Source organism: Homo sapiens, chromosome 16 (assembly GCF_000001405.40).
Source record: "Homo sapiens chromosome 16, GRCh38.p14 Primary Assembly".
Taxonomy (NCBI): domain Eukaryota; kingdom Metazoa; phylum Chordata; class Mammalia; order Primates; family Hominidae; genus Homo; species Homo sapiens.
In genome coordinates, this window is record NC_000016.10 from 72,176,024 (window position 1) to 72,202,411 (window position 26,388).

The following is a 26,388-nucleotide window of genomic DNA, read 5'->3' on the forward strand; positions in this document are numbered from 1 at the left end:
GTGCAGAGCATAACTGGTAGGGGGAGATGGTATGAGGAGATGATGTTGGAGATGGTTTTGCCAGGGTTTGGGGTTCTGCAGAGTAACAGTGAATAGGAACCTGACACCAATGTCACTGACTGAGCCACAGTCCAATTCCAGGACTGGAGTTCTTCTGGAGAGAAAGTAGGGCTAGTTGGGTCTCTCCAGAAAGAGGCTTTTGAATGACAGAAGAAATTAGGGGCCAGGAGGAGCAGGAGAAGGAATCCAGGATTTATGAGACTCACTGTCCTAGGTGAAAATGTCTCCCCCTGGCTCTCTTCTTTGCTACCTTTCACAGAGGCTGTTTGTTGTCTGTTCCAACATCCATACTCTTTATTTTCCTTAGTAACAGATGCTCATTTTATTGGGATGTGCATGCACTCATCTAAAAGACTCTATCTCCTAGCCTCTCTTGCAGCTAGGTATGATTATGTGTCTAAGTTTTGGTCAATGAGACATAAAATGGAGTATTGTGGGGACTTCCATGAAATCTTCTGAAAGAGAAGTAGTGCACAGCTCTTTGTTCTTCCCACCTTTCTAATGGCTTGTAATGCTGACTTAATGCCTGGTGTTCCACCAGCCATCTGGAACATGAGGCCTTAATGCTATGGAACTATCATTGCCAGCCCTGGATAGAAGGAGCAATTTCTATCTTGCTTAAGTAATGATTTTGTTTTTAATTTTTCTGTTTCATACACCTGAATCTAATGCAAGCTGACACTGACAAAACACACTTATTTAAGTTACTCTCAGAGATCTCTCTCTACAGTTCACTCACCGTTTCTAGCACCTCCACTAGTTGCTTATACTCTACATTTTGGAACCCCTGTTTCATGGTGGACCAGCTCTTCAGCGATTCCACAGATATGTTTCTCAAATGCCCCTTCCCTTTCTCGACTTGCCTTGGTTTTCTCTTGAGATGTCAGTTCTTTGTGTTCACTTTCTCCTTCTCTATTTGCTGTATGGAGTAGAAACAGCCAGGGTCAGGGAGAGAGGAACATTTCAGCCTTCCTACTGCCACCACTATTACTCCCATGCCATTTTGGAAAATTTCCCATTTTGAAGTACACAGTCCACCTAATCTTTGTTGCCATTATCATTGACTGACATGGAGAAAATTCTCCCAATTGGTTGCTCTTTCTTTCTTTACGAGATATATTCTTTCTGCCTGTCCAAAGTCACACATCTTCAAGACCCAACCCAATTGCCATTTCTTTCAACTTCCCTAAACTACATGTCACATTAACTCTTGTATGGCAGCTACTATATGCCAGGCAGTGTTCTGAACATAAAATAACAGAGCTAATCCTCACAGCAGCCTTGCCAGGTGTGTACCCTTTCCCCCTTACAGCCCTTTTCCCATACCTCTTTTAACACAATGATCTGCCTTTATTATGGTTGTTTGTGATTTGCTTTGTCTCTCCCCAAAGGTAGAAGTGATCTATTCTGGTGAAAGAACAGGAACACACAGACCTTTTTGAAATAATTTTAGATTTCCAGAAAAGTTGCAAAAATAGTACACAGAGTTCCTGTATACCCTTTCCCCAGTTTCCCCAATATTAACATCTTACATGATGATACGATGATCAAAACTAAGAAATTAACATGGGTCCAAAACTATGGACAAAACTGCATACTTTGTTAGGATGTCACCAGTTTTTTCACTAATGTCCTTTTTCTGTTCTAGGATCTGATTCAGTATTCCACATTGCATTTAGTTGTTTTATATCTTTAGACTCCACTAATCTATGATAATTCCTCAGTCTTTCCTTGTCTTCCGTGACTTGGACACTTTTAAACAGTACTGGAAAGTTAATTCATAGAATGCCCCTCAATTTGAATTTGCCTGATTTTTTTTTCTTTTTGAGAAAGAGTCTTACTTTGTTGCCCAGGCTGGAGTGCAGTGGTGTGAACATGGCACACTGCAGCCTCGACTTCCCAGGCTCAAGCAATCCTCCCACCTCAGCCTCCCAAGTAGCTGGGACTACAGGCACTCACCACCAAGCCTGGCTAATTTTTGTATTTTTTTGTAGAGACAGGTTTTCACCATGTTGCCAAGGCTAGTCTCAAACTCCTGAGCTCAAGCGATCTGGCTGCTTCGGTCTCCCAAAGTGCCTGATGTTTCTCTGTGCTGAGATTGAGGCTATGCATTTTGGGCAAGTGTGTCATACACCTTCTTAGTGTATCATGTCAGGGATACATGATATCAATGCATCTTATCCCTGATGATGTTGACCTTGGTCACCTGGTTATGCTGGTGTCTACTGGGTTTATCTACTATAAAGTTATTATTTTTCCCCACTATAATTAATAAATATATTAAGGGAGATACTTTAAGAGTATACAAATATCCTGTTTTTCTTCAAACTGTCACCTGCTATCTTTAGCAAGGTGGATCTCACTTGCAATAATTGTTACAGTAGTATTCTAATGGGGGTCTTCTTTTTCCTTTATTTCTTCTACATTTATTCGCTGGAACTCTTCTGTAAGAAAGAGCTGCTCTTTCTCACCCATTTAATTAATGTATTGTTTACATCACTATGAACTCATGGATATCTATTATATGGGCTATAATCTAATACTGTTATTTATTTTGTTGCTCAAATGTTCCAGCTTTGGCCAATGGGCCAAAGGTTGGCTCCTGAGCCCTTTCAACAATACCCATTCTTAAGCACATTCTTACTTTTGGGTACGAGATGCTCCAGGTTCATCTTATACTTTTCCCTGCCTCAGCCACTTCTTCATGGAGTCAGGGCTCACATTTTGACTCAAGTTAACTTCTCTGAGTCTCAGTTTCCCCATTTGGAAACAACTGGAACAATAATACCTACCTTACAGGGTGGTTATGGGGATTAAATAAATAATGTAATGGGGTAATATTCAGACAATTTTAATGGGCATTTTTTCTTTGCCCTCTCCACCATAAACTCTCCAACATAGACTCTGCTTCTTGAGTTGCCCTGGGCTGGCACTATGCAACAAGACTCTTGTCTTAAGAAAAGATTTTCCAAATTCCTTTATCTTCTCTCCCCAACCCAGCCCTCCTCCACCTTCTCCCAGGTTTCAAAGGGCTCAACAAAAAAGTCAAGGACTTTTGAGGGCGATATTATCAACTGGCATTCTCAGAGGTGCCTGCTCTCCAGCAGGAGAAGGGTTAAATGCTTTGTGATAACTTCAGCTCTGAACTGCCAAGTCTCTTAGGTTCAGCTCAGCAATCAAACTGCATAACCTAATAGAGCCCCTGGTGCTATGGGAAACACAAGACACTGATTTATATTTTAATATCAGTAATTTCCACAAGAGCAACATTTCTGAGTGTCATTTTACAATTTCTGTCAAACGCCAGCTCAGTTTTTCTTAATTCTGTTTATTGTGTCTGAATTTGCAACCTCATCCGCAATGCAGATTCTTGACTCCCAGGAGAGAAGAACATTTCCATCTTTCTCTAGAGTGGGAGGGATGAGGATGAGGGGCAGAAATGGGCTTATAAGATAATTGAAAATGTAAATGAAGTACTGTTTATTAAGAAATGATTGTGAAGTATTTTTGTTAAAAAAAAAGGCAGTTCTGAACAAACTTAGCAAAAAATGACAAACAAAAGAGATGTTTTGGATCCAAACTGGAATCTTTCCTTCCAGAAGGAAAAACTGTGTGTACACTGCAGAATGGAGAGGAGGGAACCAGTACGGGGAATATTTGGCCATGTTTACTGTATGATCGTTGCTATGGCCATTAGCACTACAGCAGGTTGTAAAGTGCTTTGGGATCCTTAAGGATCAAAGGTGCCTGGCTACATAAATGCCAGATGTTGCCATTAGGAAGAAGGAGCCTGGTTCTCTCCTGTATTCTTTGAACATCTAATAAAAGAACAAAGCTGGTGCTGCTGGCACCAAACCACATCTCCTACTTGGTGTGTTCGAGGGGTGGGGAGCTTCCCAAAACCACTGGCTGCAGATACCTATCCTTGCATGCCCAGTCTGTCCACTAGTTCCCTGAAGGCCTGCAGCTCCAGTTTCTACAGGGGTCCTTTCCCGCACAGTACATGAGCAACCTCCTGTAAGGGCTCAACATCATGGTCTTCTTTGAGGGCTGAAATGTAGCTTTGCTAAAGGGTACCTTTCCCATGGTTGCTGCAGAAAGCCAGCTAAGAGTAGGAAGCAAGGCACTTAGAGGCCAGGGAAGCTTCTGGTGCATACTCTGGGCCCTTCCTACATGGGACTGGTATTAGTCTCCACAATCCTGCTTTTCTGCAAAGCCACAGCTCTTGTAGATTGTAGTGAGCCCAGAGCCACTTGTTCTGCCTCCACTGGTGTTAAGACCTCATACTTTTCACAAGCATCCTTCAGTTTCATACACTCTAAATCCAACATCATGTCTCATTGCCAAACCTCTGGCAGAAGCCGTGTTGAGTTTCTCAGTGGAGCTATCGACCACATTGACTGAAGCCGCAGCAATGTGTTTCTCCCCAACCAAAAGGGTAAAAATAACAGGAACAAGTTGTCGGAAATGAAATTTCAATTCATCCACGCCCTTTCTACACTTCTGCTGCGACTCCCAAGCAGGGATCGATAGTGTTTAGACAGCCAAGGAGATTTTTTCCCCTCTTAAAGCACTAGATCAATAGTAAAAAAAAAAAAAATTCTCCAGCCCTCTGTATGTGTTGTAGTAACCGTGAACAAATCAGAGGCCTTTGGCTAAACAGATTGACTGAAGGCAGCAGCAGTCTGGTGCTTTGTAACTAAGACCACATCAACTGCACAAGTGGCAATGAGGGAGGAAACCCCAGTGCTCCCGTGGTCCCGGTAACCAGGAGCCTTCAAAGGGAATGTCTGTCCCCAAAATGAGTGGAAGAAATGAAAAGATTCCTGTGCACTGCAGCATTTGGGTGTGCCTTTTTTAAAAAAATTAAATACTCGCCGGGAGCGGTAGCTCAGGCCTGTAATCCCAGCACTTTGGGAGGCCAAGGCGGGCAGATCACGAGGTCAAGAGATCGAGACCATCCTGGCCAACATGGTGAAACCCCGTCTCTACTAAAAATACAAAAATTAGCTGGACGTGGTGGCGCGCGCCTGTAATCCCAGCTACTCAGGAGGCTGAGGCAGGAGAATCGCTTGAACTCAGGAGGCAGAGGCTGCAGTGAGCCCAGATCGAGCCACTGCCCTCAAGCCTGGCGACAGAGCAAGACTTCATCTCAAAAAAAAAAAAATAATAATAATAATAATTAAATTAAATTAAATACTCGATAAGGATTATGGGCCATCACAGAAGAGCATTTTATTGGAAGACATTTTGGACCTTGGGATACTGCACACTTCATTTCCATTTTGTCTTTTACCTCTTTTATTTTTACTTTTAAAAAAGTTCTTAGCTATCTATGGCTTTTTCTCATTGCTTCACAAGTTTTCTCCCTATACTACTGTCCACTTTTCAAACATCTGAGAGTCAACTCAAACATTGGGTCCCAATCCAGGGACTCAAAAGACTATCATGAAGCTAGCCCTTCCTTGTGAGATTAAAAAATTATTCAGGTTGCAAAACCCAAAGGTGAACTGAGATGAATATGTGAACATCGTCCTTCATTATAAAAGACTTGTTATTCTTATCAATGAGTATGGTGCTGACTTCCTTAATGAATTGATCATATTCATTATAAAATAAAGCATTGGCTGAATCTAGCATAGAAGCATATAAGAAGATAGCATGCCAACATGTATTAGTTTAGATAATATAGCCTTTTCTGGTAGGTTTAGTTAAATAAATGTTTATAATCACAGATAAAAGAAATGATTGTTACTGATTGTGCTGTGTTTACATTTCTGTTTACAGGGGTGTCCAATCTTTTGGCTTCCCTGAGCCACATTGGAAGAAGAAGAATTGTCTTGGGCCGCATGTAAAATACACTAACGATAGCTGATGAGCTAAAAATAAAAAATAAAAAATAAATCACCTAATGTTTTAAGAAAATTTACGAAATTGTGTTGGGCCACATTCGGAGCTGTCTTGGGCTGCATGTGGCCCATGGGCCGCTGATTAGACAAGCTTGGTTTAGAAGCTTCTCATGGAGTCACTTTGCTTTGTATGAGCCCGTAATTTAAACCAGACCTATTCTCCTGGTCACCGGCATATCTCACAGGTATTCTAGAAGAGAGGTGCACCTCAGGCACTTCAAAAGTCAAGAGGTGGCTTACACCTGTAATCCCAGCACTTTGGGAGGCCAATGTGGGCAAATGGCTTTGAGCTCACAAGTTCAAGACCAGCCTGGACAACACAGCAAAAACCTATCTCTACTAAAAATACAAAAGTGAGCCAGGCATGGTGGTGCACACCTGTAATCCTAGCTACTTGAGAGGCTGAGGCACGAGAATCACTTGATCCTGGGAGGCAGAGGTGGCAGTGAGCTGAGATCATACCATTGCACTCCAGCCTGAGCAACAGAGTGAAACTCTGCCTCAAAAAAAAAAAAAAAAAAAAAGGCCAAGAGGTTAGGGGATAGCAGGAAATGTCTCTCTCAGTGATTATTTCCAAAGATGAAAGGAGAAACAGAGACTATAAATATGAACTTACTTATTAATTCAAAAGTGCTGAGAACCCAGTATGCATTGGGTGAAGCAGAAATGTACGATGAGAAGTGTAACTCCAAAAATACCCATGCCCTATAATGAGCTACCTTGTGCTGTAGCCTCTCCCTCTCCAGTAGTTCTTCTTATTACCATGTTAATGTTTCAACATTTGAATATGTAACAGTCCTGTTGGTTTCAAAATGTGATATGGAGTTGCGCTGGGTTTTCCTTTGCCCCTCACATACTCTCTGCCTCTCTCCCCTCCGCTCTGTGTCCCATGAGCTGCATCAACCAGCTCTCTTACCCTCTGCTCTCTGGCCCCTGCTTGGTTGACCAGTGTGGAAAATCAGCAGGAAGGTCAGTGGGGGAGGGGACTGGGTCCTCAGATTCTGCCCTGCCAGGTCCCCAGAGGGTCTTGGGGCTTTCTCCACTCCCCATTTCAGGTCTGCTCTCTCCCCTGGCCCCTGAGGCTTGGAGGTGATCAAGACCTACCCTTACTATACCTGGGCACTGCATGCCACCTTGTAGCTTCCTTATACCATGGTCACAGCTTTATGCCTAGTTCCTCTATGAAGTAGTCCACAAATTACTCAGCTTGAGCATGCCATCTGCTTCCTGGTGGGATCTTAGTTTATAAGGTAAATAACAGGAAGTCTCATATGCAGGCATATTAGTTGCCTAGGGCTACTGTAACAAAATACCACACTCTAGGTGGCTCCAGAGGCTGGGAGTCCAAGATCAAGGTGTTGGTGGGGTTGGTTCCTTCTAAGGGCTGTGATGGAGAATTGGTTCCATGTCTCTCTGCTAGCTTCTGGCAGTTTGCTGGCCACCTTTGGTGCTCCTTGGCTTGTAGACTCATCATCCCAGTCTCTGCCTTCATCTTTACATGGTGTTCTCCCTATGTGCATGTCTGTCTCCAAATTTCCCTTTTATAAGGACACCAGTCATATTGGATTAGGGGGCCACCCTATTCCAGGTTGACCTCATCTTAACTCATTACACCTGCAATGATGCTATTTCCAAATAAAGTCACATTCTCAGGTTCAGGGGGTCAGGACTTTAACATATGAATTGGGGTGGGGGCAACACAACTAAACCCATAACAGTAGTTACCTATGAGCAACTATCTTCTATTATACTGGGGAAAAAAATCCTCTCCTGCCCTCCTCCAGCCACCGTCTTCTCTCTCCTCTCTGCCCCTCACTTCTCATCTTCATGGATGAATTGTTCGCATTTGCTGCCTCTTGATATTTCCTCTATCCCCCTTTCCCCATATTCACCTTGTCACCCCTACCCTGGTGGCAGCAACTCTGAATGGCCAAGGTCAAAGTTTTGGGTGTCAACTCCAGGGGGCCCTTTTTGGTCCTTATTGTATCTCACAAACTTGACATCAGTGGCTACCTCTAGAAATATTTTCTAGAAGCACTTTCTCCTTCTAGAAATGCTTTCTGTCCTTGGTTTCTGAGACTCTCTCCCAGATTTCCTCCTGCTCTTCTGACGGCTCCTTCGCTTCCTTGGCAAGTCCTCTCCTTCTGGCCATTCCTGAAATGGTCCCAGGTTCTTCCTGGTCTTCCTGGTCTTGTCCTCCCCATTCTCACTCTACATCCTCCCTGGTCTTGTTCTCTCTTGTCAGATTTCAGTTATCATCCATATCAGGTTGTTCCTACAATAACATCTCCAGCACAGCTCTCCATCTGGAGCTCCAGATTTGGATAACAACTGCCTTCTACACAGGTGTGCTCCACTGACCCACAGGCTTCTGCAATTCAATCTCTCCAACACTAAATCTGTAAGCCTCTACTCCAAACCTGCTTCTCCTCTGATATCACCTTTTTAAGGTATTTAACAAACTTGCATCACGTTTATTGTGTGAGAAGGAGAGGCACAATTCTGAGCACTTCACTATTAACTTATGTAATCTGCATAACAGCCCTATGGGTACTGTGGTTATTTTTATTGTAAATGAGAAACTAAGGCACAGAGATGTGAATAAACTTGCCCAAGATCACAGAGTACCATGGGGTAAAGGTGGAATTCAAACTCAAGTAGCCCAACTCTGGAATTTGTTCTTAACCACTACTATATATTGCATCAGTGAAAGGAACTGCCGTCTACTTCATTTGTTCCAGCCCAGAAATCTAAGCACCATCTTGATTCTTCTTTGTCTTTCTCTCTCACTCACTTCAACTCCCAGACCCTTCATCCCATCACTTACCATGTCCTGCCTATTGGATCTTCCCAATTAATCTTCTATGTTGGTCCTCTTCTCCTCAACCCCAATACTACTGCCCACTCCTCCAACAACTAGAGATACGATCATGTCATTTGCTTGCCTAAAGCCTTTTAATAATTATCCATTGCTCTCAAGGTAAAGTGTTCCTTAAATGGTTTAGGAGGCCTTTCTTCATCTGTGTCCTGTTTTCTTTTTTTTTTTTTTGAGACGGAGTCTCGCTGTGTCACCCAGGCTGGAGTGCAGTGGTGCAATCTTGGCTCACTGCAACCTCTGCCTCCCAGGTTCAAGTGATTCTCCTGCCTCAGCCTCCTGAGTAGCTGGGATTATGGCTGTGCACCATCAGGCTTGGCTAATTTTTGTATTTTTAGTAGATACGGGGTTTCACCATGTTGCCTAGGCTGGTTTTGAACTCCTGACTTCAAGTGATCCACCCAGCTTGGCCTCCCAAAGTGCTGGGATTACAGGCATGAGCCACCGTGCACAGCCTTGTGTCCTGTTTTCTGACCCTCCTCCCTGCCCTTCTTTACGTTTCCCGCCAGAGCTCTACTGAACTATGTTCAGTTTCTTGGACACACACCCAGTCCTTGGACCATTCTGCTTGTGCTACGGCTATGTGCATTATTCCATTTCTCTCCTCCCATCATCTTTGGGTTCACTCAGAACTCAGGGTAAATATCATTTCCTCTACAAAGCCTTCTCTGAATCCCCAAGCTTGGGTTCTTCCTCCAAGCACATGCTCCCTTCCTGATCTGAACGTCCCCACCAGGGCAGTCCTCACACTATATTAGAATTGTGGGCATACTTGTGTGTATCTCCCTCTAGACTGCAAACTCCATAGATCAAGGGATTGTAAATTTTTGTTCACCATCTTATCTGAAGTGAGTAGAGAAATAACTGGCACATAGTGGATGCTCAGTAATATTTACTGAAAGAATGAAGAGTCAAATTAACTAATTTGCAGTAAGAGATCACTGTCATGAGAACTGGAATATTTTCAGTCCACATGGCCAGCACACACTCTCTCCAGAGGTAGACCAATATGAGAAGCCAAAGAGAGTTTTGGGTGACAGAATCAGAAGTAAGGGATACTGAAATAATCTGATATTGAATTATAACTGACTAGGACAGCATCTTGTAACTATCTTAGATAGCAAAGATCTTGGGGCTGATACAATCAGTCTGTTGGCTAAGGCTCCCTCTCTCCAGGACAGAGCTAGGAGGGGTCCACCCATCATTCCCTCTGGGACTATATGTTCCACCCGTCTGCATCATGAGATTGATAAGCTCTTTCTTACATAGACTACTCTGGTCCAGTCAAGTTTTGCAGATCTGAGATTTATCCTGTCTCCCTAAGGTGATGCTGGGTATGGTTCAGCTCTCCCAGAATAACTTTTCTCTCATTTTCAAGTTCTGGAAGAAGCTCCCCTGTAATCTACTTTGAAGTTGCAGTATGTTCCAAATGGCTTCTGCTATTCAGAGGTGCAGTGGATCACTTTCTATTCAAATAATTAAGAAAGATTTTATGGAGATAGTTGCATTTGATCCTACTTTTGATTCTGACAGATGAAGATGGGCTATATTCTAAGATGTTGAGGAGAAATGAAATTTTCAAGCTGAAGCTGGAAGAGAAGGAGAGGCTGGAATGGGAAGAGCTGTAGATGCGAGAATTCAGAGTCTGAAATTTATCTAGAGGCAACAGGGAGCCATGAAGGTTTTCGAGCTGGGGAGAGACACATCAACAATTGCTTCGTGTACATTAGCCTGACCTCTGTGTGTGGGAGACCGAATAGACAGAGAGAGGAAGCAGAGCAGAAGGCCTAGAAAGCTAGACAGGAGTTAGGAGATGACTCTTTTCAAATAAAAATAGCCAGTTGAGCAGAGTGATAGGTGTGAAATCTATTTCTTTAATTTGTCACTGTAACAGTATATTATATCCAAATATATAAACACATTTATAGAAGTTTATTAAGCAGCAATTAAAAGCAAGCAAACAGGCTGGGCGAGGTGGCTCACATCTGTAATCCCAGCACTTTGGGAGGCCTCAGTGGGCAGATCACCTGAGGTCAAGGGTTCGAGACAAGCCTGGCCAACATGGCAAAACCCCATCTCTACTAAAAATACAAAAATTAGCTGGGCATGGTGGTGTGCGCCTGTAATCCCAGCTACTCAGGAGGCTGAGGCAGGAGAATCGCTTGAATCCGGGAGGTGGAGGTTGCAATGAGCTAAGATTACACCACTGCACTCCAGGCTGGGTGACAAAGTGAGACTCCATCTCAAAAAAAAAAAAAATAAATAAAAAAATAATAAAAGCAAGCAAACAAAGAAACTTAACTTCTGAAGAAACATTTACTAAATAAAGATTGATAGTGGATGCGATTTAAAATAATCATTAGGACAATACTACAATTTTGAATGGTCCAGTATCTTCCATCCTTAGATGAGTCTGCAGATTATAGATTTGGTTACAGTGGGCTCCAAGATCTGTCCACATTCAACTCATTGGGTTAAAGCTGTCTGGGGTACTAGTCAAGTCATAGGGATGGGGAAGCTTTTTGGTCTAGACAATGTCTACATGATATTATCTAATATTATACTGGGATCCACCCTGTACCCTGTAGGGTGATTTGCCAAACACTTCACTTGTAACCCTAAAGAGCAAAGGTGAGATGATGGTAGGGCTGATTTTGGAGGGGGAGTGGTGAGACTTCTTATATTGAACCCGTTTATATTGCAAAGCCTTTTTCCTATAGCGGTTCTTCAGTGATCAAGTCGTGGAAGGGAAGGGAGAGTGAGGTGGTTACATATGGGCACTGCTATTGTTATGTTGGAAAATACTTTCTGATGAACAGTCATTTCCTCCCACTGCCGAAGGGTGTTGATAATGAGCAAATTACCTTTTACTCCCTCTGGTGTGGATGTGAAATTGGCTGTTAATAGAGTTGCTAATGCTACCGGGTTAGCATGTGATTGTTCTATTTTAAGCCAATTTAAGTTATATTTGGGGAGTAGCCAATCAGACACCTCACTAAGAATATGGGCCCAAATGCAGCATTTAATATCGAGAAACCTGCCTCACCCACAGATGTGGCTGTGAGCAGAAAGTGCTGAACATGCTGTCATTAACATGAAATGCTTTAATACAATGTCTCTTTTCCTTTGTAGGTACAAGAATGGTCTCATTAGGCAAATGCCAAATGTTTTCATCATAGGATAGAACCCATTTCAAACCCCAAGACTATAGAATGCCGTCAGCCAATGATGTAGTTTGTTTAATATAACAATGGGTTAATATTGGTCATTTCATTACTGCTTGTTATGCAGTGAAATCTTACTAGAAAATGAAGTGTTCAGAAACTAGTTGAAAGGAGCAAAAGAGGTGAGAGATTTTTCCAAGTTATATGCTCGATTGGGCTAATTAAAGGTACAGATGCATTAGTGGGTTATGAACACCTTTGATTTCTAAAGATGTTTTCCTAGGAAGGGGATGGTGTATTCTAATCGTAGACAGCACTGAGAGCTTTCCAAGGCCAGGGGGCACAGTTCTTCTCTCTTACGTGCTCCCTAACCCTCTCCCTAAGCACCTATTGCCACCTGGCACCTGGTGGGTGGATTGAGCGCATTACTTGGGAAAGTTTCTTGATTAATAGGAATATTCTTGAATAAAGCACTGTTGACTTGTGGTTTTCATGTTTTATTGGATTTTTCATGCTTTACATATGAAGCTCATAAAGTACACACAGAGAAGGAAACAGGTATGAAGGATGGAAAATAAAACTCAACTGATGGGATACAGAAAGGTACAGTGTGTGCCATTCTGGTGTGGATTAATTGGGCTTGGCATGATTATGGCTCCTGTCAGCTGATCAGTTTACTGGACTGAAGAAGTTGTGGGAATGGAAAGCGCTGGTGCCTAACATTACCTCAACCCCACCCCCGCCAAAATACTTCCCAAGGAAATTCTATGCCCATACTCCCTAATTTGCTATTAAGCTCGGCGGCCATGGAAAACCCATCTGTTATGACCTCCTGCTCATTTAGCAAACATTTGCAGAGACCTGCCTTGTGCCAGGCTAGGATTTAGAGGTGACTAGGACAGGGTCCCCGACCAAGGGAGCGCAGAGTGCCCTGGGGAGGCACTTATCTAAAAAGTGTAACACATGGTGACAAACAGTCGGTAGCAGATGATTAAAAGCTTGGGCATTTGGAAAATACTTTTAGTGTTGACTTTTTTTTTTTTGAACAAATACACAGTACTTTGGATGTGCCAGGCACCGTGCTATGGACTTTACAAATATTAGCTCATTAATTCTCCCAACAACCTCCAGAGGCAGACACTATTATTATTTTCATTCTACAGTTGAGGAAACTAAGGCACAGAGAGGTTAAGTAATGTTCCCAAGGCTACACAGCTCATCAATGCAGAACCAGGATTTGAACTCACACCATCTTGCTCCAGAGTCCATGCCCTCAGCCACCACATGCTGCCGTCCCTTTAAGCCAGTCCCTGGAAGATGAATGGGACAAGCTTGTTCAAGGGCACTGATGTGTGACCACGTGTGGCCCACAAGGAGAGATCCAGTGGTCAGAACAGTGGCATAAGAAGAGATGCTGTCTGGGGTGTGAGTGCCAATCTTGGAGGAATGGGCAGAGAAAGGGAACTGGCAAAGAGGGCTGAGAAGGAGCCCACAGAAGGAAAACCAGAGGAGGGGCCTCTCCAAAGAGGAGAAGGAAGATAAATTACGGCAGAGTCCACAGTGTCAGCTGCTACAGAAGTTCAAGTAAGAAGAGGAAAACCAAGCCATTCTTTTGGAGATTAGGAGCCTCTGCTGTAATTGCCCAAGGGGTCTTCCTGCCTGCTGCAAAGATAAGACCAATTCACTGAGACCATGGTATTGCAGTAAAGACAGAGTTTAATTAATGCTAAGCTAGTCACATGGAAGACAGTTACTACTTAAATCAGTCTCCCTGATAACTCAGAGGGTAGGGTTTTTAATGGATAATTTGGTGGGTAGGAGGCTAGGGAATGGGTGCTGCTGATTAGTTGAGGATAAAATCATAGGGGTGTGGAAAATAGTCCTTGTATGCTGAGTCTGCCTCTGGGTGAGTGTCATGGGACTGGTTGAGTCATGAGTCACGGGTCTTGGCAGGCAGTCAGTCAGTTGTTAGAATGCAAAATTCTGAAAAAAAATCTCAAAAAACCAATCTTAGGTTCTACACTAGCAACGTTATCTATAGCAGCAATCGGGGAAGTCACAAATCTTGTGACCTTTGGCTACATGACTCCTAAGCAGTAAGGGATTATAGAAACTATGTCTACATTTTAAGTAGAATTCAGGCCTCTCCCATAATCCTAATCTCCTGACCTTTGTTAGTTTTATTCAGTCTCTGAGCAAGGAGGGGGTTGGTTTTAGGGACGGACTATTATCATCCTTGCTTCAAAGTTAAACCATGAACGAAATTCCTCCCATGGTTAACTTGGCCTATACCCAGGAATGAGTGTGGACAGCCAGCTCGTGAAGCTAGAGGCAAGATGGATTCAGCCATGCTTGATTTCTCTCACTGTCATAATCTTTGCAAAGGCAATTTTGCTTCTGACCTCAGTGAACACAGGGTGGGTAGAACAGAGGACTGCAGTTACACTTACTGATGAAGAACTGATGGGAAGAGAGAGTGCTGTGAATGTCTTTCTAGAAGTTTCATAATAAAGGGAAGAGGGGAGAGAGAGAAAAGAAAGGGAAAGGGAGAGACAGAGAGGGAGTGAAATGGGATGGAAGGAAAGAGAGTGAGCCTAGCTTGGGGTCAGAGGCAGGCGGGAGAACAGAGAGTTGCAGGGGTGAGAGAGAGGTGGGGTTGGGGAGGCAGACCAGATGAAGAAGACTGAGCCTCAGAACTTCTCTCTGGCACACCTCAATCTGAGCACACACTCTTTGGGGCACAATGTAATTATTATTTCTTTCAGGCAGTGAAGCATAACATTAACAGGTTCAGTTGCAGATTTAATACAGGAAGCTTTATAGGACATCTTAGATCGTGAGGACTTTGAGGGAAGACCTAGGCTTCCTTAACGGAGTACCAGGCAAAGAGAAGGTTCTTCGTGTGTTTGTTGAATGAATGAATGGGTCTTATTCACATTTTTATTGTGAATATTATGAAAAAAGAACATGACACTGATTTTAAAACACTTGGAAATACAGTCATAAAACATGAAAATTTTATGGCCTGCAAGTCATTTCAGGAAATGCTGCAAATACATCCATCCATCCTGCCCGAGGCCTTGAGGTAATAGGGCCATTATAGGATTTCTCATTGGGTCATCAAAAAACTTTCTGCCCCTATATTCCTGCTACTTTACAGACAGATTCTGTATTTTATTAAAGGTAGGAAAAATAAATTGTTTCGGAAGCGCAGGGTATAGTTAAAGGTGTTAAGAAAATGTAAAACAATTTTACTAGTGTCTTGCCTACTAATTTGGATAAATGTTTATTCTCAAAATGTTCTAGCATTATCTTTCTTCTTCCAGAAAGGTCAGGCACATGCCACTAAAAACACATTTAGTACATTCGAGAATATTTTTCAAGTGATTTATTGGAGCAATGTATGGACTATTTATTTAAATATATCTCTTATTTCCAGTAATGCTACAACCTCATTAGAAGCGACTTGGCTCATTGCTTAAGCAAAATGATTTAGCTATTTAGGAGCTCTCCTTTAAAAATAGGCTATTTTCTCTGAACAGTTTACCAGAATTGGGGATCTATTTTTAGAAAAGTACAGAAGAATGGGTAAGGTCATAGTCCTGAGCCTTAGGTAATTCCTTGAGAAGTTGTATCTATTGTACGTTCTGGTTCATTTTTCTCCATTCCTGGTTCTCCAGCAGGGAGGAGTTCTCCTCTTGAGGTATGAGGGCACAGCCACCTCTCTGGGGAATTCTGGAATCCTCTGAAGAGGCTCTGTCCTGGCAGGCACCCAGCTAGTAAAGTATCGGGCCTGGTTTTAACAGTGAAAAACTGCTTCTACTCTTTGGGGACATGAGAACCCGATTTTACATACTGGAAAATGAAATTTGCTAACTACTGAGTGTGCAATGCATAATCCCCACTCTGTAGCTAATACATTCAGATGCTTACAGCATATACATAAGCTATGAAGCAGAATGATCAAATGCGTGTGTGTGATCCCCTGCGAGCTGAAACATTACCAATATGTGGCTTCTAAGTGTTTCTCCTTGTGGCATTCCTCTGACCCTTGCCTCTCCCCACCATCCTGAATTTTGTGTTTATTATTTACCTGTGATTAAAAAATACTTTTATCACATATGTATCCTCCTAAGAGGAGGGAGGGAAGGAGAGAGAAAGAAAGAGATGGAAGGAGGGAGGGAAGAAGAGACACACACGTTTGAGAGGAGAGAGAGAGACAGAATTCCCTAACAGTTTAATGTCACTTTAGAAAACACACACATTTCCTCAGGTATTTTGTTTCACCTAATGGTCCCAATTCAACTGTTATAGGATGCTAAATATGTTATTGTACTGAAAAATTTTTAATTTTATTAAATCTAGCTGGTGCACGTAGAAGGGAACTTGCAGTTTCATGTATTGTTTGTAGAGTGTTAATTGCCTTTTTTTCTTGAAAGTAATTTAGCAATATGGATGGAATTAAAGTCCTTAAAAAAATACAATGGGCCAAGCATTACCCCTTACAGGATTTTATTCTAAGGGAAGAATAGAATAAGTATGCAAAGATGTTTTTTTAAGGATGTTAACTGCAGGGCCGGGTGTGGTGGCTTGCACCTGTAATCTCAGCACTTTGGGAGGCCGAGGCAGGCAGATCAGGAGATCAAGACCATCCCACGTCAGGAGATCAAGACCATCCTGGCCAATATGGTGAAACCCCGTCTCTACTAAAATACAAAAAATTAGCCAGGTGTGGTGGCACATGCCTGTAGTCCCAGCTGCTCAGGAGGCTGAGGCAGCGGAATCGCTTGAACTCGGGAGGCGAAAGTCGCAGTGAGCCGAGATCCTGCCACTGCACTCCAGCCTGGGTGACAGAGGGAGTCTCTGTCTCAAAAAAAAAAAAAAAAGAAGACATAATCTAAATGTCCAAAAGTTATTGGTTAAATATGCAGTGATTTAAAATGATGAAAGAATGTGCACGTTATATTGAGTGGGAAAAAAGCAGCTATATAATACATAACAATTATATAATAACAACAGTTACATGGACCACCCTATATGGAGGACCCTCTAATTTTTATAAAAATAACTTCTGGCCAGGCATGGTAGGTCGCGCCTGTAATCCCAGCACTATGGGAGGCTGTGGTGAGAGGATCACTTGAGGCCAGGAGCTCGAGACCAGCCTGGGCAACAGAGTGAGATTCTGTCTCTACAATAAAATAAAATAAAAATTACCTGGTGTAGTGGTGCACACCTGTAGTCCTACCTGCTCAAGAAGCTGAGGTGGGAGGATTGCTTGAGCCCATGAGTTTGAGGCTAAAGTGAACCATGATGGTGCCACTGCACTCCAGCCTGAGTGACACAGTGAGATTCTGTCTCTAAAAATAAATAAATAAATAAATTTATATGTATGAAAAAAATTGTGGAGGCAAAAACACCAAATTGTATAAACAGGGACAAGATTTTAGGTGATTATCATTATTGCTTATCTGTATTTTTTGTCTTTCTAGAAGAGTAATATATTATTTTTTGAAAATGAAAAATAGCTTGTACTAGTCTATTTATTAAAGAGAAAGCTTGGAGATTTTTTATGTGACCTATAGTCCATTATCCATCTGTGGATGGAAAATTTAAAATCATTGATACCTACTATGAAGAACTTTTCTCCCTTGCAGTGCTCTCTGGGGATGCAAACTGACTTTATATCAGTGAGGAAAAAAAAAAAAAAAGAAATACAATTACACAACCCCCAAATGCATTCTATTGAACAAAAATTCAAACATCTGTATTACCCCAATCATATGTGCCCGGCTCCAGTCCATCAGCATGGCGCACACATACCACCGCTAGCTAACCACACCTCCCCAAGTTTTCCACAGGGCGGGTTAATATTTCTAGTTCCATTTGTCATTACAACCTCCCCATGAGGTGGAAGAGTCTATAGTGGCAGGTATGGTAATTATCAAGGCTGCTTTTTTTTTTTTTTTTAATTTGGTAAAAGACTGGTCAAATATTTTCATTTTATAGTCCCCTGATCTCTTGGAGCCTTTGAAAATAATGGTCAGTAGTTCAGCGAGTTCATTATCTAATTCTCTTAAGGTTGGGGAATGTGCATTTCTGGACCTGCTGATTTACATATTGTACCATGTTTTCAAGTATTCCCTTACCCGGTTTATTTCAACATCTATATTTAAAAGTCTTCATTACTTCCTAATTATCTATGCTCCCTTTCTTTATTTTTCTTTTTTAAAGACCAGTTTAAAAACTCATTCTGCTTTCTCTGCAGCTGCTCTTATCTTTCCTCCATGAGCCTTAGAAAGAGTTGCACATTCTTTTTTTTTGGCTCTTCCTCATCCTTTCTCTATTTCTGCAGTGGGCTTTCTTCCATCCTTAGATCTTTTCAAGATTCTTTGTCAAGCGATTCGTTGCATTTTTTATTCAAGGCATCCTGGGCCTTTGTGGCTTAACTGTGATTTGAAAACTTTGTGCCCTTGCCTGTAGTGCTATCTGTGTTTCTTAATTCACCCAAATTGGATTTCTGAAAATCTTTGAGCTTGAGCAAGTTCCTTAATGTTTTTAAATACAGAGATCAGGTCATATCATCTGGGCAGTGGTATCTCGTGGTCAATAGTATTAAAGACCATTCATGGGAGTGAGAGAATCGGTAGAGATGTGAGGTCACTGTTCATGCTTTGGGCAGGATATAGATATTTTCAGACCCAAATCCATCCTTGACAAAGAAGCTAAGGCACTGTTGGTGTTCTAGGTTGTTGACACTGAACTTGGTTTCCTGGGCAGAGAACACACCTCAGAAGGCAGGCCACTTGCTGTTTAAAAATCCATGCTTAATAAAGGCTGCTCAGGAGTTCCTCTTTCTGGCTTACACTAGTTAATGGTATGAGAACAAGTGCTAGATTTTACACTCATCAATTTAGATGCATCAATCCATAGTGTTCCTTCATTCTGTTTCTGACAGTTTGTGGACCTGGGGATCTGCAGGTAAATATGTGATTTGAGACAACTTCCCTTCAATCTGCAGCAGCCATGGAGGCTTGCTGTTCGGGTCTCCCTTGACAGAGAACTTGCCCCAGGGAGTGCACTTTGCGGACAGCCTCCAGCTGTCAATGTCTCCAGGGCAGCTTCCGGCCAATGACTGGGTGCAGCGATGGCACCAGGGCCCACGTTTTCTGGCCAGTGCAGGACTCCTCAATAGGTCATCTTTGCACCAGATTGTCCTGTTGGGCTGGTCAAGCTGTTCTCTGAGCCGCACTGCAGTCTGAGGCTCCTCCTACCTCATCTTCCTTCCTTCCCCCTCTCCTTTTCACAGATGTCAGACCTACACTGAAGTCTGACGGCTCTCCCTGCCCGCTTCTGCTCCCTCTCCCTTTATCTTTCACTGAATCTCTTGCACTTCTAACACCATCTCAGCATCTGCTTCTTGAAGGACCTGAACTGACACAAGAACCCAGCCCCGCTTTAACCTTGCTAACCCCTCCTGCCTCCCCCATCCATCCTGCCTGCATGAGCTCAGCCATACACTCTTTTATGTTACTTTATGGAGAACTCAAATGCTACATAGTCACTGAATACATTCCAAGCTAAGTGAAAAACAGACCTGGACGTTATCTCCAGTTTGGGATTGCTGTAAATACTACTACTCTCTTTCATTAATGTGGATAATTGATCTTGTTATACAGTTTGATCACATTGGAGCGTTCTCAGGGAAAAGCTTGTACTTAAACCTCAGCAGCACTAGGTGATGCTGCTGTCCCACACAAAGGCTGCGGCCTGAGCTAGGCTTGGCCAGGGCCGTCCTGGGCTGGGGGTCCTGCCTTTCCTTGGCTGAGTAGGGCCTGCAGGTCTGCAATCCACTCCAGAATCTGAAAAAGTCATTTTTGTATTCATGATTCTGGACTCTAGTAAAGACTGTAAGTGTGTTAAATCTCTCTCTCTCTCTCAGAGCTTACAGAATGTGTGTGTGTGTGTGTGTGTGTGTGTGTGTGTGTGTGTGTGTGTGTGTGAAAGAGAGAGAGAGACAGACAGAGAGAGAGAAGGAGCTTTCAAAAACTCTTGAACTGATTCAGAAACTAACCCTGGTTGCTCTAATTTCTGCAGGTGCCCCTGAGTCCACCTTACATGAATGCTCTTTTGGATCCACAGAACAACTGAAAGTTAAGCAACCCCTCCTCCTGCTCCCAGATACGGGAGAAAGATCAATACGAATGGTACCAACACCAAAGTCTTTATCTAGGATTCCTTCAAAGAGTTGGGTGTCTGGGCAACACTCATTTGTGTTAGACAAATGGAGTACAGGGTACGGGGGCTTCTTCTGTGCTTGGTGTCTTCTCTGTGGTACAGAACTGGCACTTCTCTGGCCAGGTTTTTTTCTTTAACACTGCCATCTTTGACGCTGCCTCCCCCAACCTCTGACATGTGCAGTTAGCAATCAGTAAACATAACACCTGTCTTGTAAATCCTCATAGGCAAAGCTGCTGAGTGGGACTAAAAATCTAACCCTACCATTTCACTCACACTCCAAAGAGTGGTATCTGTTCTACATGCACGGCACTCCTGTTGTGGAGCAGCTGGGTAAGCACATTGGTTAATCTGAGTTGAAGAAGTTATTTTCTTACACATGGGATGACTATTTGGTTGCATAGAGAATACATTCATATTAATGGGACTGAATTCATCCGTGCCTCCACTGGGGAATCTCCAGGACCACAACCATCAATCCACTCTTTAATATTGTCCAATCTCTCGTGCCATTCTGCACCAATAATGTTTAGGAATTTCCCAGAAGACTCCTGGCCCAATGCCTTATAGAGAGACATTAGGAGTATGTCAGCAAGATAATTTTTGAAAGATAGCCCTAATATTGCTGATAGGCTCTACAATCCAAGTGCAGTGTGACTTACATTTGCTTGATTATAAGCATACAGATTCTCAGGTCTCTGCCCTGGAGACTCTGACTCAGTAGGTCTGAGGTCCCCTTGGGAACATGCATTTTAAACAAGCAGCCCAGTGACTCTAATGATCAAGCAAGTCCAGGAAACACTGCCCCTTTGTACAAAGTGGGTTCCAGCTACGAACCAGAGTGTGAGTCCAATCAGACTCAGCAGAAGCCACAATGCAAAAGAAGATCATGGAGATTTTAATAGCTAGGGAAAAAACCATCTGTGAGTCATGGGATGCCCTCACCAGGTAATTGGGCACCTATGGTCATTGCAGCCACCTGGAAGCTTCTGATAGAGAAAGCACTGGGGAATCTTTTATTAACATATTTAATGTGCTTGACTAAGGTAAAAAAGCATGAGAAGCCAGGAGGCCTTGTTAGCAACCCTGCATCATGCATGGTCAAGAAATAATGCTTTCTTTCTCAGGAAAGGTTTAGTTTAACCTTTGGCTGTCTTTCTCCAGGGAGAAGCCAGCAGGCATATACACACTTAAATAGCAGTCTTCCTAAAAGGGCTGGGGGTACCCGGGGCTCCATGGGCAGTGTCTGGGAGGAGTACAGAGAAAGCCACATGGAACTCTGTCATGGACAAGGTTATGGCTTCCTCGAGAGAGCAGTCTGCCACGTTATGTCCCCGGCTGCCCTCCTCCTCCACTGGGGTCAGCCTTGGAATCCCCAGGGACCCCAGAATATTGACCCACCCAGTGAGAGCTCCCTCCACCCCTTCTTTGTGGCTGAGGAGAGAGTGCAGCTCTTTCCCTGCTGAGGATTGACTAAGATAAAGTGCAGAACCTTAGCGAGAAGCTGAAATTGCAGCAGTGTGCCTCAGAGGGTCAAATGGAGACTCTGATCTGCAGGTTTTTAGGGCCACTTCTGTCACTCTGCATCCAGTGCAACATCACATCTGCACACCAAACCACAGCAGCTAAGATTCCAACTTGTCCCCTCCCTGACAAAGTTGGCCACCCCATGGGACATTTTTTGTTTAGTGGCAACAGCTGAGTGAAAACCCAGCATTCCCTTCTTGTTGGCAGATGAATCATTCTTCGTTGGGGGCACCTTTTTGTTTTCTATCCCTGAAAGAGTCTGGGGGTGGCTTTTCTTTTCTTTTTGCCTTTTTCATAAATAAATATTTTAACTGGAAATTTCCAAGCGTATGACAGGCCTAGAATGTGAACTTGAATGTACTGTAATAGAAATCATCAGTTGCCATGGCGACGTGTTCCAAGAGCAGATCGCACCAAGTCACGTGAGCAGAGAGTGCTCAGTAATACTAACACATCATAGAGTGAGGCCACTTAACCTCAATCGCTTCCAGCTATTGTGCAGAATGCAATTGAATTTATTCCTAATTTCTGCCAGTGCTAAGGAACAAAATTTCCCTGCAGATTTTAATCTTACTCAGGCAGCCCCAGCCAGTGCTCAGACACTGTTCAGCACCAATATTCAGAAGGGCTACTCACCCGCTTTACAGTTCTATTTTTTTATTCTTATTTTTAATAATAGCTTCCCTCTCCCTGCTGGATCCCGCACATCCCCCTGCCCTGGGGAGAGCTGCCCTCCTCCTTTCCGAATGGCTGCACGGTTTCTCTGGCTCTGTCTGCTAATGCAAGGAACATAGCTTTCATAGTAATACCAATTAAAAAATGACCGGCCTCCACTTTCAGTAGTAGTTTTTTCTCCCCCACCCCAAACCTGTGCTGAAATATAATTCCCACCAGCTTTGGGCTATACCTGGGGTTGACACAAGTAACAGCCCCATCATAATAAGGCAAACCCGTGGATCGGTGAATGATGGAATCACAGTGTGTATTTTCAGTCCCTGTCACAGTCACATCCCCCCACCCCCACCCACCCCAACCAGGAGAGCAACACAGACTACCAGGAGGTACGGCCGCCGATCACAGAACACTCATTTCAAGAGCTTATCAGCTTCTATGAAGGCTGATAAATCAGAACCTCTCATATGGACAGTCTCAAGTTAGCAGCGTCATCGATCTCCCCTGCCCCTTTTAAGTGATTTGTCTTATTCACTTCCAAAGATGATATCAGAGATGCCAAATGAGGCTTTGTTTTCTGTGCTCTTGCGCTGCCTAGGGTGAGTGGCTGTGCTGTTGCAGGGAACTAGGACGCATGCTTCCCGGGCTTAGCCCTTTGTTTCCAACCCAAGGTCACCTCTCCCCTGTCGGTTCAGGTGTTGTCAGCAGTCCGCCTGTGTTCTGAGGCAGGGGGAGCATCTTCCGTGGCTGACAGCCTTTGCATGGCCCTAGCCTTTCAGTGACCTCCCCGCTTTATGAATGTCACTTTTAAGAAGACCTGCTTGAAGAGCTAAAGTGAAGACAATGCAGAGCCCAGTCCTCAGAAAGTCTATGTTGAACGTCATGCAAAAGGAACATTAAAAATGTGGCTGGGTGCGGTGGCTCATGCCTGTAATCCCAGTACTTTGGGAGGCCGAGGTGGGCGGATGGCCTGAGGTCAGGAGTTCAAGACCAGCCTGGCTAACATGGTGAAACCCTGTCTCTACTAAAAATACAAAAATTAGCTGGGCATGGTGGTGCACTCCTGGAGTCCCAGCTACTCGGGAGGCTGAGGCAGGAGAATCGCTTGAACCTGGGAGGTGGAAGTTGCAGGGAGCTGAGATCATGCCATTGCACTCCAGCCTGGAAGACAGAGCAAGACTCCGTCTCAAAAAAAAAAAAAAAAAAAAGTGTAGGGAGATTATTGGAAAGGGCTTTTCAGAAAAAAAAAAGGTAGTTTCTGCAGTGACTTCCTTTAGCAGGTCGGTCCCTCTAGTGATAGAGGGGGGAATGTAGTTGCAAATCACTTACTCAGCTAGTTCCAAGCCATTGTTCTAATGCTGCACTGGAATAGGAAACATGGAGAGAAGTCAAGAAGAGAGGGAATGGCAGCGTGGAATTAGGATGGGGCTGCTGGTTGTCAGAGCTGACTCTACATAGAGAGCTTAGTAACTATGGAAATCTTCATGGAGCCTGTGAGTGAAAAGCAGCCCGAGAGGAAATGAAGGGAAGCGATGCAGTGAATTTTATATCAGCAGTTTGAGTGTGACATTTGGATCTGGAGGGAGAAAACTACATGGCAAGCTGTTGGTAGCACACAAGGCTCTGTGCCCGCCCTGCTGGGATGGAGCCTCTGAGGGGCCTTTGCCAAACAGGCTCACTCCACTGTCACTTGTCCACAGAGCAGAGGAGCAGGGTGACCTCAGGTAGAGCCAGTCCTCTGACTCCTATCAGGGACTTCAACCCAGCGCAAGCTCCCTCTGGCTAGGATGGGGGAAGTACTATCCTTTAACTGGCAGAGTAAACTGTCCAGCTGTTCATGAAACAGATTATATTTTCTAATCAAAATTGGTTTGATTTATACTAGAGCAGAATTTCCACACTTACTAGTCTAAAATACTTGCTGATCTTCTTACCAGAGCTGTTTAGGCAATTAGTGCCCTGGAAGGTTCTGGGAGGACATCTAATCTGCAGTGAAGCAATGGCCCTGTAGACAGTGTGGCCTTCTGGAACATTCCCGCACACAGAGGTACATTTCTGGAGACCAGTGAGCCTCATAGCCTCCTACAGAGGAAAGATGGTGAGAGAACGTCAGGAAAAAGCAGAAGCATTTTATTCCTGATGAATTGCATTAAAGGGAAGGACAATCTGTGCTATTATGCTAATATCTGCAATAGCAATTTTATTATGTTCGTTAATCTATAGTCAAGGAATAACATTATTACAATTCTTACAGCTTTTCAAAGTACTTTCATAACTATTACCTTATTTCAACTGCATGGCAACCCTGTGATGTAGGTGGGTGCATTTTAAAGATGAGAAAATTTGGATCTAGAAAGGTTGGGGCTAGAATAGAATCACACAGAGTAAGGACAGGATCTAGATCTTAGGACACCTGGTCCAGTGCTGCCAGGGGAGAAAGGGAGTTGCCTGCTGTGTATGCTGCTGGTGACATCCATAGGGACCTGGCCGTGGGGGGTCCCTGGGTGCTTTAGCCTGGTTATGACTCTCTGCCTGGACAACTGTCCACTTAATGTTTCCCCATTTATTGTTTCGCAGCCTGAATAACTCCTTGTTCCCACACCACCTATAGGACAGATTTGCAGAGCTCTCAAGACTGGTGCAGATGCATAATGTGTGACCACACCATTGCTTTCCCAGCTCTTCCCCCCTCCCCCAGCAATACTTTAACAGTGACCTGGAGGGGTCTGATGGGAAAGCTAAAATTTGGTTCTATGTCCTTGGTTCTCAGGCTTTCCTTTGAAAGGGTGATGAGATACTAATTTGAGTTCATAATTTTATGCTGAACAATTATCCTCAGAATAATGCATTTTGGATTTAAATTTCAATTGGAGTTTGAGAGGTGCAAAAGTTACAGGAACTATGTCCACATTTTCATCATACATTTTCCTCATTCCCAACAGTTACTATATCTCCAGTACTTCCCACATTACATCTTGTTTTCAATTCAGTTAAAATCCTGTATGCCTCCTCTGAATATCATAGTTAGAAACAAACAGAGATGCTCAGAGTAATTCTCCAGAATACGATGGGGAACACTTTCCCAGGTTACAGAAGGGCCTGGCTCCAAAACAAATAACAAAGAACTCCAGCAAAGCTGCCAATCACAATCCTTTAACATTGAAGCAGATCAAGGCATTGCAGTGCATTTCCCACTTATATTCAATCACAACATTTACCTTTCCCTCTGGGCCCATTTCCATCCCAGAAAAGGGCTAATATTGATTAATTACCCACTATACGGTTAAACACCTTTCTTTATATACATTACCTTGATTTATTAAAAAATACTTTCAAAGCTCATTATTGAAGTCAGATATAAATGAAAAGATCAGATATATTGAAAGACAACAAATTCCACGAGGCCTTCACCAAGACCACTTCCTCCTCCAGGAAGGCCTCCCAGATCCTTCTCATTTTCCTCCACCAAACTGAAGTAACTGTCCCATCCTGGAATTTTCACATTACTTTATTTCACTTGCTACCTTGTAATAGAGTTATTTATTCATGTCCTATCATCATATTAGAGAGAAATTACTTTTATTCATCTCCCTGTGGACACCATGACTAGCATGGTTCATTGTATATCTTGTACACAAAAGGTGCTGAGTAGAAACCCTTGAATGAATGAATCAGTGAGTGAATGAGTCGACTTGGGACTGGAGCTGGATCTTAAAGGACAGGTGGGTTTAGACACTCCTCAGTGTCTGAAGAACTGCAAGAGTCAGCAGGGTTGATTCACTTCTCAGTCACAGTAGACTCTAGATTAGTCACTATCACCTATAAATCATTCCAGCTGGCATCCTTCATGGACTCTTCACTGATGTATCTCTTTTTAAAATTTTATTTTATTTTTAGAGATGGGATCTTGCTATGTTGCCCAGGCTGGTCGTGAACTCCTGGGCTC

General features: G+C 43.3%; 1 protein-coding gene across 1 annotated transcript in view; it reads right to left on the reverse strand.

Moving 5' to 3' along the window:
* Nucleotides 1-26,388, reverse strand: part of PMFBP1 (polyamine modulated factor 1 binding protein 1) — a 133,293-nt gene that overhangs the window by 59,367 nt on the left and 47,538 nt on the right. Inside the window, exon 3 of the mRNA XM_047434734.1 lies at nucleotides 24,377-24,524. The gene's annotated coding sequence lies outside the window, so the exon portion shown is untranslated. The remainder of the gene's footprint in view (nucleotides 1-24,376; nucleotides 24,525-26,388) is intronic.